Source organism: Homo sapiens, chromosome X (genome assembly GCF_000001405.40).
Source record: "Homo sapiens chromosome X, GRCh38.p14 Primary Assembly".
Classification (NCBI taxonomy): Eukaryota; Metazoa; Chordata; class Mammalia; order Primates; family Hominidae; genus Homo; species Homo sapiens.
The window spans coordinates 71,013,078-71,026,555 of record NC_000023.11 but is presented as its reverse complement, the minus strand read 5'-3'; the positions used below and the strand labels follow the sequence as shown (position 1 = coordinate 71,026,555).

At 41.5% G+C, this 13,478-nt stretch overlaps 2 pseudogenes; both read left to right on the top strand.

Moving 5' to 3' along the window:
* RNU1-56P (RNA, U1 small nuclear 56, pseudogene) lies at positions 6,123 to 6,280 on the top strand (annotated as a pseudogene).
* NUTF2P7 (nuclear transport factor 2 pseudogene 7) lies at positions 9,586 to 10,225 on the top strand (annotated as a pseudogene).
* The last annotated feature ends 3,253 nt before the right edge of the window (positions 10,226 to 13,478 follow it).

The window sequence follows — 13,478 nt, the reverse complement described above, 5'->3', positions numbered from 1 at the left end:
GGTCTCAAACTCCTGACCTCAGGAGATCTGCCTGCCTCGGCCTCCCAAAGTGTTGGGATTACAGGCGTGAGCCACCTCACCCGGCTGGCATTGATTCTTAATGTTTAATTTCACTACAGATTTAAGCTATTTCCATTTATTTTTTTTCCCTTTGAGATAGGGTCTTACTTTGTTGCCCAGGCTGGAGTGCAGTGGCATAATCATAGCTCACTGCAGCCTTGAACTCCTGGTCTCAAGTGATTATCCTGACTCAGCCTCCCAAGTAGCTAGGACTACAGGTACATGCCACGGCTCCTGGTTAATTACTTTTTTTTTTTTTTTTTTTTTTTTGGTAGAGACAAGGTCTCACTCTGTTGCCCAGGCTGGCCTTGGATTCCTGGGCTCAAATGATTCTCCTGCCTTGGCCTCCCAAAGTGTTGGTATTATAGGCATGAACTACCATGCCCGGCCTTAAGTTTCTTTCTCTTTCTCTCTCTCTTTTAGACAAGGTCTCTCTCTGTCATCCAGGCTGGAGTGCAATAGCATGATCGTAGCTCACTGATACCTTGAACTCCTGGGCTCAAGGGATCCTCCTGCCTCAGCCTCCCAAGTAACTGGAACTACAGGTGCACATCATGATGCCTAGCTAATTGTTTTTTTAATTTTTTTTTTTTTTTTTTGTAGAAATGGGAAGGTCTCACTATGTTGCCAGGACTGGTCTTGAACTCCTGGCTTCAAGAGATCCTCCTGCCTCAGCCTCCCAAAGTGCTGCTATTACAGGCATGAGCCACCACGCCCAGCCAGTCTCTCTTAATTGAGAGCAGTCTATGCCTCACATTTTCTTTGTCAAGCCATTGGCTTGTTGCAGAAAGTGAATCAGTGGTCCTGTAGAATATCCCTCATTTTAGATATGTTTGTTTTCTTTTTTATGCTGTCATTTACTTTATTCCTTTATATCCCACATTTTTCTATAATGGAAGTTAGCTTTAGAAGCTTGATGATATTCAGATTCAACTTTCTTCATTTGGTCAATAATATTTAACAGGGGTAACTGTGTATTTCACTTTGAATCACATCTGGAGGCACACATCCATTCCATTTTTAATAAATGAGTAACATCTGGATTCCTTCATTATTTTATTTAACTTATTATTATTATTTTTAGAGATGTAGTCTTGCTCTGTCACCAGGCTAAAGTGCAGTGGCGTGATCATAGCTCACTGCAGTCTTGATCTCCTGGCTCAAGTGATCCTCCTGTCTTAGCCTCCTGAATAGCTAGAACTGCAAGCATGCACCACCCTGCCTGGCTAATTATTATTATTATTATTTTGAGACAAAGTCTCACTCTGTCACCCAGGCTGGAGTGCAGTGCCAACTTCCGCCTCCCAGGTTCAAGTGAGTCTCCTGCCTCAGCCACCTGAGTAGCTGGGATTACAGGTGTGTGCCACCATACCCTGCTATTTTTTTTAATTTATTTTTTACTTTTAGTAGAGATGAGGTTTCACCATGTTGGCCAGGCTGGTCTTGATCTTTTAGCCTCAAGTGGTCTGCCCGCCTCAGCCTCCCAAAGTGCTGGGATTATAGGTGTGAGCCACTGCGCCCAGCCCTGGCTAATTTTTAAATTTTATTTATTTATTTATTTGTTTGTTTATTTATTTTTGTGTGTGTGGAGACAGGATCTCTATATGTTGCCCAGGCTGGTCTTAAACTCTTGGGCTTAAGTGATCCTTCCACCTCAGCCTCCCAAAGTATTGGGATTATAGGCGTGAGCAACCACTCCCTGCCTGACTCCTTCATTATGTTTCCCATCAACTTTTCATTTAATAGTTTAATCTGTTATGACCATTGGTGGAATTAATCATTTCACTAGTAGTTTCAAAATAGTGATTCCTTAATTTTGTTTTCCACATTAACTAGTTGGAATTCTTCTGAAAGTAAACTTTCCCTCATCAACTAGGACTATTGTGTTACTCCTACAGGGAAGGCAGGAGACATGATTAATTCTTTCCTTAATTACCAATTTTCAGAGTAAAGAGTTGGTGCTCTACTTACTTTCAATGATATCCAATGAGTTGTATATGTTTGTTATTTCCCTGTCTTTATTAACCACCCTTTAAAAAATGTCTATCACATGTACCCTATAATAAATATGTATATCTATTTATGTATCCATAAAAATTAAAAATTAAAAAATGTATTCAATGGGTTTTAATTGACTGCATTCATTATTCTTGTTAATACTCAATTTTTACCATCTTTTGCCAATGCGTTGCCTCCTGTATGTTCCTGACATGACTCATTAGTGTTCCATAGCTTGCTTGATTCCTGGCACAAGGCTTATATAGTTCCTGCCTCAGACTTGCTATTTCTCCAAGGAGTCCTAGTTGATTTATATTCTCTCTCTCTTTTTTTTTAAACAGCTTTATTAAAGTTTAATTTACATAGCATAAAATTCACCTATTTTAAATATACAATTCAAAACTTTTTAGTAAATTTATAGAGTTGTGCAACTATGTCCACAATCCAGTTTTAAAACATTTCCATCAAACTAAAAGATCCCCTATACACTTTTGCAGTCAATCCTGCTTCCTATCTGTAGCCCCAGGCAATCACTAATATGCTGTCTGTAGATTTGCCTTTTCTAGATATTTTATGTAAATGAAATCATGTGCTATATAGCCTTTTGCTTTCACTCAGCACTAGGTGTTTTTAAAATTTGAAATATAATTCACATGCCATAAAATTCATCATTTTAGAGTGTATAACACAGTGGTTTTTAATATATTCACAAGGTGTTTCAACTATCACCACTATCTAATTCCAAAACATTTCCCTCACACCAAAAAGAAACCCTATACCCATTAGCACGCACTTTCCATTTCCCCCTGCCCTCAGCCCCTGGCAGCCATTAATCTACTTACTGTCTCTATGAATTTGCATACTCTGGACATCTCATATAAATGGAATAATATAATATGTGGTCTTTTGTGTCTGGTTTCTTTCACTTAGCATAGTGTTTTCAAGGTTCATCCACGTTATAGCATGTATCAGTACTTCACTTCTTTTTACGGGTGAATAATATTCCATTGTATGGATATATAACACTTTGTTTATCCATTCATCAGTTGATGGACATTTTGGGTTGTTTCCACTTTTTGGGTCATAGAGTAACTCTAATGTTTAGCCTTTTGAGGCACTGGTACATTGTTTTCCAAAGCACAGGCTTTTTACATTGGTTGTACCATTTTACGTTTCCACCAGCAGAGTATGAGGGTTTCAGTTTTCTCCGCACCCTTGCCAACACTTACTTATTGTCTCTCATTTTTATGATAGACATCCTAATGAGTGTAGCTACTTTGGAAAAGTCTGGCAGTTCCTCAAAATGTTAAGCTCAGCGTTCTGATCCCCACTCCCTAATGATTGTTGAAGCTTTCCTTTTTTTCTCTTTTTTTTTTTGCCCCATCCCCCTCCACCCCTCTGTTGTATTTTCTTTCTCCTCTCTTGTCCTCTTCTCCTTTCCTCTTTTCCCCTCCTCCCCTCCTGTCCTTCTGAGACAGGGTCTCATTCTGTTGCCCAGGCTGGAGTGCAGTGGTATGATCACAGCTCACTGCAGCCTCGATCTCCTGGGCTCAAGTGATCCTACCGCCTCAGCCTCCCAAGTAGCTGGGACCACAGGCACATGCCACCATGTCCAGCTAATTTTTATTTTTATTTTTTGTGGAGACGGGGTCTCCCTATGTTGCCCGGACTGGTCTTGAACTTCTGGCCTCGTGCGATCCTCCTGCCTCAGCCTTCCAAAGTGCTGGAATTACAAGCATTAGCCACCGTACCCAGACTTTTGCTCAGTTAAAAAAAAAATTGGCCGGGCACCGTGGCTCACACCTGTAATCCCAGCACTTTGGGAGGCCGAGGTGGGCGGATTACCTGAGGTCAGGAGTTGGAGACCAGCCTGGCCAACATGGTGAAACCCCCGTCTCTACTAAAAATACAAAAATTAGCCGGGCTTGGTGGCACATGCCTGTAATCCCAACTACTTGGGAGGCTGAGGCAGAAGAATTGCTTGAGTCCAGGAGACGGAGGTTGCAGTGAGCCAAGATTGTGCCACTGCACTCCAGCCTGGCCAACAGAGCGAGACTCTGTCTCAAAAAATAAAATAAAATAAAATAATATATATTTTTTTCATTTCTAAGCATGGCTTCCTAGGTATCATATCTGGGTCAGGATAACTTAGTGGTCAGCCAATAATTTGCTGGAGGTTGTCCTTAAACACCTTGGGCCAATATGTCTTCTGCCCTTTGCTGACGAAGTTGTGTGTGGGTTGGGAAACACATTCAAAGTTTGGAGAGTTTACATGTCCTCCATGACTTTTACTTCCTGATAGGCCTTCTCATGTCCTGTGCCTGTGCCTGTGCAAGGCCTCACATTCAGCCAAGGAAATGTAAATAACTAGGCCCCTCTCTGGTACCTTGAACTTCAGTGTAGCCTTGCACATGCACACAGCCTCCTAGACAACCAGGGCCTTGAAGGTGCTTATCAAGTCCCACTATTACTGTCCCGTTTTCTGGATCTCTCTGTAAACTTCTGGCAGATCTGCTATTCTGTTGCTTGCTCCAACCAATATTGTAACTTCAGGTAACTGCGATTTTGGCTTCCCGTGTCTGTATGAAATTGAGTTTGCTATTGTTTTAAACACCCCTGGGCATAGGACTTTTTTGGTGCTCGTTCTTTATGAAGTAATTCCCCTCCAGCATCTAAATTGTTATTTTTTTATGGCTTGCCTTGACTTTCGTTGTAAAATCAGCTCCAGGGGACCTAGTGGGAGTGGGGGAGATGGAAGCAGCCCCGTAGTCTCCCACTGTTCTTAGCCAAAGGTTCCACAGGTTTTCTTAATTGCTTCTTAATCCAGTTTTATCATTGTTTTAAGGAAGAGAGGATTTGCTGAGTTCCTCTGCCATTCCAGAAGTCCGGCCTAATTTATGGTTTTTTTTGTTTTTTTTTTTTTTGAGACGGAGTCTCACTCTGTCACCAGGTTGGAGTGCAGTGGCCCGATCTTGGCTCACTGCAAGCTCTGCCTCCCGGGTTCAAGTGATTCTCCTGCCTCAGCCTCCTGAGTAGCTGGGATTACAGGCGCATGCCACCACGCCCAGCTAATTTTTGTATTTTTAGTAGAGATGGGGTTTCACCATGTTGGCCAGGATGGTCTCGATCTCTTGACCTCGTGATCTGCCTGCCTTGGCCTCCCAAAGTGCTGGGATTACAGGCGTGAGCCACTGCACCCGGCCACTAATTTATGTTTTAAAAGATCATTCTTAAGTGTTCTTACTACAAAAAAGTATGTGATGTAATGCATATGTTACTTATTAGCTCAATTTAGCCATTCCACAATGTGTACATATTTCAAAACATCATATTGTATACCATAAATATATATACTTTTTATTTGCCAACTTTAAAAAAAGAACATTCTGTTAGGAGTGGAGGATGGAAGGGAAGCTGGTGACCAGGAGTATATAATTTTACTCAGCAGTACTTTGTAAGCAGGAATGGAGAATATAAATAGTTTGGTTGATTTGTGGGTGAGAATTGACATAATAGGGATGGTGGAAAATCAAGGGGATAGGAGAATAGGGAGTGTTGGTTACTGTTATTGAAGTCTCACTGTCCATGGACTCTTTCCTAAGTAGACAAGGAAATGCAGTCCAAAAGTACATGATGGCAATGGACTTTAGGGACTCAGGGGGAAAGGGTGGGAAGGGGGTGAGGGATAAAAGACTACAAATATGGTGCAGTGTATACTGCTCGGGTGATGAGTACACCAAAATCTCATAAATCACTACTAAAGAACTTACTCATGTAACTAAACACCACCTGTTCCCCAAAAACCTGTGGAAATAAATTTTTTTTAAATAAAGGAATTTGAGACCCCCCGCCAAAAAAAACCAAAAAACCCAAAAGTACATGATGGCTTTGGAAAATAGGCAAGAGGGTTAATGAATTAAAGGCCTTGAGGCAGTTTAAGGGTAAATTCAGGGAGTATAAGGTTTAAGAGAAGTAGAACAACAAGTAGTTCTGAGAGTGGACCCTCTGTGTTTGGTTTTGGAAGTAGAGCCATTCCAAGTGTCACTCCAGCAACAAATAATTGATACCTGGCAGGGGAGATACCATGATCACAAAGGTGGTTTTCTCAGGGTGAGGCCCATCCATTGCACTCTGGGTGTGTTGGCCCCTGTGATTTCCCCAAATACAGGAAACTCGACTGCATAATGTGTGGTAGTGGGAGACTGAGTTTGTGCTTTCCCCTAAAAAAAAAAAAAAAGAAATGGATTATTGAAAGGGAATGGAGATGAAGAAGTTAGAATAGGTTATGTCAAGGATCCATGAGGTTTGGGTGTTATATCATCAAGGGGGATAATGAAGACTTTCAGGATGAGAAGAGAAAAGGAAAACAGTTGGTACTGAAGTCCTCAGTGAATGTTGGGGGGAGACTTGGAGATTGACATTTAACATTGAGAGGGTCATAAAATTGAGTATTATGAACTTTGAAGAAAGAGGTTATTGAGGTAAGATGGTAAAATAATACCTTGGGGATCCAGTGAAGAAGATACAAGAAGATGATAACCTGATCTTGACTTATGGGGAGATATGAGCAAAGGAAAATGAACAGCCTCAGCTGGGCATGGTTTGTGCACCTGTAATTCCAGCTACTTGGGAGGCTGAAGTGGGAGGACCACTCAAGCCCCAGGAGTTCGAGGCCAGCCTGGGCAACATAGAGCAGGAACACTGTCAGAAAGAAAAGAAAGAAAGAAAAAGGAAGAAAGAAAAGAAAGGAAAGAAAGGAAAGAAAGAAAGAAAGAAAAGAAGAGCCTCAAATGAAGAGCTTTGCCAGGGAGGAAATAGCAGCACAGTTCATGGTTTGGGATGACCAGAGTTCAGGTAAGAAGATGAGATAGAGGCTGAATGGATGGGCATGACCAAAAGCTGGAAGGTTTTAGGGAATGGTGGCTAGTTTTGGCTCAAGCATAGGGTGCAATTAGTTGTATAAGAAAAAGATAATATTGGAATCTATGTGATTAGTTGGAATCCAGAACATAACTAGAGTCATTATTGTTAAAAATATTATTCCTGGCCAGGTGCAGTGGCTCACTCCTGTAATCCCAGCACTTTGGGAGGCCAAGGTGGGCAGATCACGAGGTCAAGAGATCGAGACCATCCTGGCTAACATGGTGAAACCCCGTCTCAACTAAAAATACAAAAAATTAGCCGGGCATGGTGGCGGGTACCTGTGCTCACAGCTACTTGGGAGGCTGAGGCAGAAGAATGGCATGAACCTGGGTGGCGGAGCTTGCAGTGAGCCGAGATCGCACCACTGCACTCCAGCCTGGGCGACAGAGTGAGACTCCATCTCAAAAAAAAAAAAAAAATATATATATATATAAAATATATAGTATATTATATATATAATATATATTATATTATATATATAATATAATATTAATTATATATATATTTCTCTAGACAGTAAACTAAGGAAACTTTTTGAAATTGTTTTGTTTAGATCTCAGTGAAATTTGGGAACTGATATTGGTAGCTGGGAAGTAATTTGACAGCTTTGGAATACTGTGACTATGACAAATGTGAAATTGGTATGTGTGATAAATTATTAATGCCACCAATAGAATTAAAGTTGACTATAGATCATAATTTTGGTAAGAATGCAGTTTAGTATCAAACAGATTTTTCCTTGGGCTGTATCCAGTATACTGTGATGAATTTTTGATCTATTTGTAATTAGAAAATTGGAGCTTAAAAAAATGTATTGATGCTGGGCATGGTGGTGTGTGCCTGTAGTCCCAGTTACTCAGGAGACAGAGGCAGTAGGATGACTTGAGCCCAGGAATTTGAGGCTGCAGTAAGCTGTGATTGCACCACTGCACTCCACGCTGGGTGACAGAGTGAGAACTCATCTCTAAAAACATGCATTGACTTTTTGGAATGACCTTTTTATATTCTTTTCCAGGACTATTTGCAACCCACAATATATATAGGACTACTCAGGATCTGCTTTAGTGTGAGGGTTCCATCTTAATTACCCTAGCTATATTTGATATAATTTTATCTTTGTATAAATAAGATACATAGCTAGAAGCATAGAAGAGAAAATGTAAAGCAACAATGAGAGTGAATCAGAGATGTAGAGCTCCAGTTAAGAAACCCTAAGAATATTAATTGCCGGATGATAATCTGGCACATATTGAGTTCTGGCTACCATTTGTTACAGGATAAAAGAACATTGGAATAATTGGATACTGAGGTGCATAATTGCTGGCAATGGAGTGGAGGAGAGGAGTTGATCAGCTGGAAAGGAGCCTTATAGCTGCTTCTATACTAGTACTGTATATTTGATATTGGTTGACAACAGCAGAAAAATTATTTATCACCATGCTGGGGACTTATTAAATTGATTTCTACTCTGAAGTAATATGGAGGAATTTAATGGTTACTCTTAGAGATGTAATATTTCTTTATTTTTCATTCTAGCAGCCATCAGAAAAAAAAATCACAAAAAATCTATTGCTTGTACAGTCCTGTCATTTGTGACCTGGGATATTGTGCTCTTGGGCTGTCAGAATTCCAGTTTATGAGGCAATCTGTGTCATTCTGGTTTAGCCAGGTGAGTAGTCCTCTGGCTCTGTAGAAAAGAACAAGAAAGAAAAATAATAAAAAAGGGGAATGTGGAAAAATATAGATATGAATCTTAGACCCTAGAGGACAAGTTAAGGCCTGGGTTACAAGCAGCAAAACAGAGAGGAGGCCCCGGGGGTTATGGACACAGTCAGTAGAGTGGTAGTCATTAATTATAAAAACCGAGAGAACTAGGAGAACTAAGCCTGTGTGGGGACCTGGCTTGAGTTCAAAAATGAAGAAGCTTACAATGAACTATAATAAAAATATCTGTGAAGGCAAGGTTAAATAGAAAGGAAGTATGCTTTCAAGTTAAAATGAATAGAAGCCCAGGCATGGTGACTCACGCCTGTAATCCTAGCGCTCTGGGAGGCCGAGGTGAGAGGATTGCTTGAGGTCAGAAGTTCGAGACCAGCCTGGACAACATAATGAGACCCTGTTTCTAAAAAAAACTTTTTAAATTAGCTGGAAATGATGGTGCACTAATGTAATCCCAGCTACTTGGAAGGCTGAGGCTAGAGGATTTCTTGAGCCCAGGAATTTCAGGTTGCAGTGAGCTATGATGGCACCACTGCACTCTAGCCGGGGCAGTAGAGTGAAAATATCTATGAATATCTGTCTGTCTCAAAAACAAACAAAAAACCCAAAAAGACCCCCAAAAAACTAAAAATACTAAAAATGGATAGAAGTTTAATTATAGGCTGGGCATGGTGGCTTGCGCCTATAATCCCAGCAATTTGGAAGGCTGAGGTGGGAGGATCACTTGAGCCTAGGAGTTTGAGATCAGCCTGGGCAACATAGTGAGACCTTGTCTCAGCAATAACTAACTAGCTAAATAAATATAAATTTAATTATGATGAATTTCCCTTTTCTAAGGAAATATTGGCTATATAGAGATGCCAATCATATTTTAAAGGTTTATTGGCCGCCTCCATTGCCGCCATCATGCCAGCCCCTCGGGTCTCCGCGAGGCTGGGTGATGCTCCAGAATGGAAGACAAGCCAATTTGGAAGCAGGTTGGATCCAGCTTCATTCAACATTACTACCAGTTATTTGATAACGATAGAACCCAATTAGGCGCAATTTACATTGATGCGTCATGCCTTACGTGAGAAGGACAACAGTTCCAAGGGAAAGCTGCCATTGTGGAGAACTTGTCTAGCCTTCCGTTCCAGAAAATCCAGCACAGCATCACGGTGCAGGACCATTAGCCCATGCCAGATAGCTGCATCATCAGCATGGCTGTGGGTCAGCTTAAGGCGGATGAAGACCTCATCATGGGTTTCCACCAGATGTTCCTATTAAAGAACATCAACGATGCTTTCACCAATGACATGTTCAGGCTTGCCCTGCACAACTTCGGTTGACCTCCTCTCAGCCAGGCACTCATACTGTTTCCTCCTCCCTCCTCTTCCCAATACTATTCCCACTCCTCCAGATGCTCCAAATATCATGCACAAATGAGCAAGGCTGTGGCGGGTGGCGCAGTGCGCTGCTGCCACCGAGGTGTTGTGCATGATGTTTGGACACTAGACTAGTTGCTTCTGACGGGAGAAGTTTGTGTTGTACCAGCGCATGCCTTGGAAAGACTTAAGTAATGCAAAAGGTTGTCCTTTGTTTTTTTTTTTTTTAAATCTATGGAGAAGTTGCTCTAGTAACCCAAAGAAGGGAAGGAGAAAGCAGCTGCCTCACCGCCCAGACATTGATTTGTTCAGACGATACAATAAAACCACAAAAATTTTATTAACAACAAAAAAAGATTTCTTTAATATTTAATAGTTGAAAGAATGAATCCTGGCTCTTCTGTGTACTAGCTGCCTGATCATGGAAATATTACTTACTTTCTCCAAACTTCAGTTTCTTCATCTATCAAGTGGATTGATACTTACTGTAAGAATTAAATTAAAAAAATAAAGCACTCAACACGATGCCTGGCACATACTTAGAGCTCAGTAAATAGTCACTATTATTAGGCAGTGGAAAGCAGAGTTAATGAGAAGGAAGTTGAATCATGTGAAGGATTATTCTTCACAGATAGGTATGCAATTACTTATTTATTGTCAGAGCAGCTTACAGAAGTTTAAGGGTCAGAGCCTCTTGGACATCAGGCTATAATGAATGCAAATTAGACTCATTTGAAGGAAAGTAGTTCCCTTTTGTTTCCTGAGTTTGTAAGAAATTAGAACTTCTATATATTTTCTCTGATGGTTAATTTTAGATGTCAACTTGACTGGATTAAGGAATACCTAGAATCCTGGTAAAGCATTATTTTGGAGTGTGTCTGTGAGGGTTTCCAGAAGAGATGATTGTGTGAGTCTGAGTGGACTAGGTGGGGAAGATTTGCCCTTAGTGTGGGCAGGCATCATTCAATCTGTTAGGGACCTGTAGAGAACAAAAAATGAGAAAAAGGCAAATGTGTTGATTTATCTGCTGGAGCTGGGATACATTTGTCTCCTGCTTTGGGCAACAGAACTCTGGTCTCCCCGGTCTTTGGACTCCAGAACTTACACCAGTGCTCCCTGCCTAACCTTCGGTTCTCAGGCCTCTGGCCTCCGACTGAGAGTTACACGCCATTGGCTTCCCTGGTTCTGAGGCCTTCAGACTTGGACTGAACCATGCTATCAGCATCCTGGGGTCTCCAGCTTGCAGATGGCCTGTTGTGGGATTTCTCAGCCTCTATAATCATGTGTGCCAATTCCCCTAATAAATTCCCTCTCATATATCTATCTATATGTATCCTATTGGTTCTCTGACTAATATACTTTCAGGATATATATATAATATAATAGTCAGGAGAACTCTGACTAATATACTTTCCTTCCAGAATAGTACTTTTAACATGAGCATTCTTTTTATTATTATTATTTTTTAGATGGAGTTTCACTTTTGTTGCCCAGGCTGGAATGCAATGGCACAATCTTGGCTCACTGCAACCTCCGCCTCCTGGGTTCAAGTAATTCTCCTGCCTCAGCCTCCCGAGTAGCTGGGATTACAGGCATGCGCCACCACGCCCAGCTAATTTTGTATTTTTAGTAGAGATGGGGTTTATCCATGTTGGTCAGGCTGGTCTCAAACTCCTGACCTCAGGTGATCTGCCTGCCTCGGCCTCCCAAAGTGCTGGGATTACAGGCATGAGCCACCGCGCCCAGCCAACATTAGCATTCTTAGTATTTACCATTAGTATTTTTAATGTTTCTGTTTGACTCAAATCTTGAATTTTTTGGAAAATAGTAAAACGATGGACAGGTTAGGTGGATAGGCCATGCTAGTTGAAAACAGAGAAGATGGTAAAGTATAAAAGATAGCTGGGCATGGCGGCACGCACCTGTAGTCCCAGCTACTCAGGAGGCTGAGGTGGGAGAATCACTTCAGACCAGTAGTTTGAGACCAGCCTGGGCAACATAGTGAGACACAATCTCTAAGAAAAAAGAGTTTCCTCCTTAATCAGTTCAGATCACCTTTTGGACATAAGTCATTAGGTTATTTGTCTGGGTAGAGTAAAGCAGGCTGCCGGGAGTTGAAGTGTCACAGGGAGACTAAAGAAGAGGTACTAAAGAGGCTTTTCAGACGGCTTATCAAAGTTAAGGAGGAGGAGTTAGGCCTCTCAGTCTAGATAGCAAGGAAAGGGATGGACTGGTTTTTATGGACCAAGTTTTGTGAGGCCTAAAAAAGCTACTTGGGAGGCTGAGGCAGGAGAATTTGCCCTAAAAGGGCAGGAGGCCTAAAAAAGGAGTCATAGGGGATAAAGTTTAAAGATACAGGATTTTTTGTTGTTATTGTTTTACATTGTTTTATTTATTTTAATTTTTTGAGACAGGGTCTTGCTCTGTTGCCCAGGCTGGAGTGCAATGGTGCGATCTTGGCTCACTGCAACCTCCAACTCCCAGGTTCAAGTGATTCTCCTGCCTCAGCCTCCAGCGTAGCTGGGACTACAGACGCGCACCACCACGCCTGGCTAATTTTTGTATTTAGTAGAGACGGGGTTTTACCATGTTGGCCAGGCTGGTCTCGAACTCCTGACCTCATGATCCACCCACCTTGGCCTCCCAAAGTGCTGGGATTACAAGCATGAGCCACCGCTTCTGGCCATACACTTTATTTTTTAGAGAAGTTTTAGTTCACAGCAAAATTGAGCAAAAGGTATAGAGAGTTCCCGTATACTTCCTGTCCACACACGCACAATCTCTTTTACTATCAACATCCCACACCAGAGTGGTATATTTGTCACTATCAATGAACCATCATTACTACCCAAGGTCTATAGTTTACATTAGGGTTCACTCTTGGTATTATATATTCTATGGGTTTCAACAAATGTTTAGTGACATGTATCTACCATTACAGTATCATACAGAATAGTTTCACTGCCCTAAAAATCCTCTGTGCTCCACCTATTCATTCCTTTTCTCCCAATGCCTGGGAGCCACTATAGTCATCATGATGTACAATAGATCTCCTGGCCAGGTGCAGTGGCTCACGACCATACTCCCAGCACTTTGGGAGGCCAAGGCTGGTGGATCACTTGATGTCAGGAGTTTGAGACCAGCCTGGCCAACATGGTGAAACGCCGTCTCTAGTAAAAATACAAAACTTAGCTGGGCACAGTAGCTTGGGTTTGTGATCCCAGCAACTTGAGAGGCTGAGGCAGTAAGATCACTTGAGACCAGGAGTGTGAGGCTGCAGTGAGCTATGATTGTGCCACTGTACTCCAGTCTTGGCAACAGAACAAGACCCTGTCTCTAAAATAAATAAATAAATAAAAAATATAAAGTGGTTAAAATGGTGAATTTTACCTTAATTTACCTTAATTTAAAAAC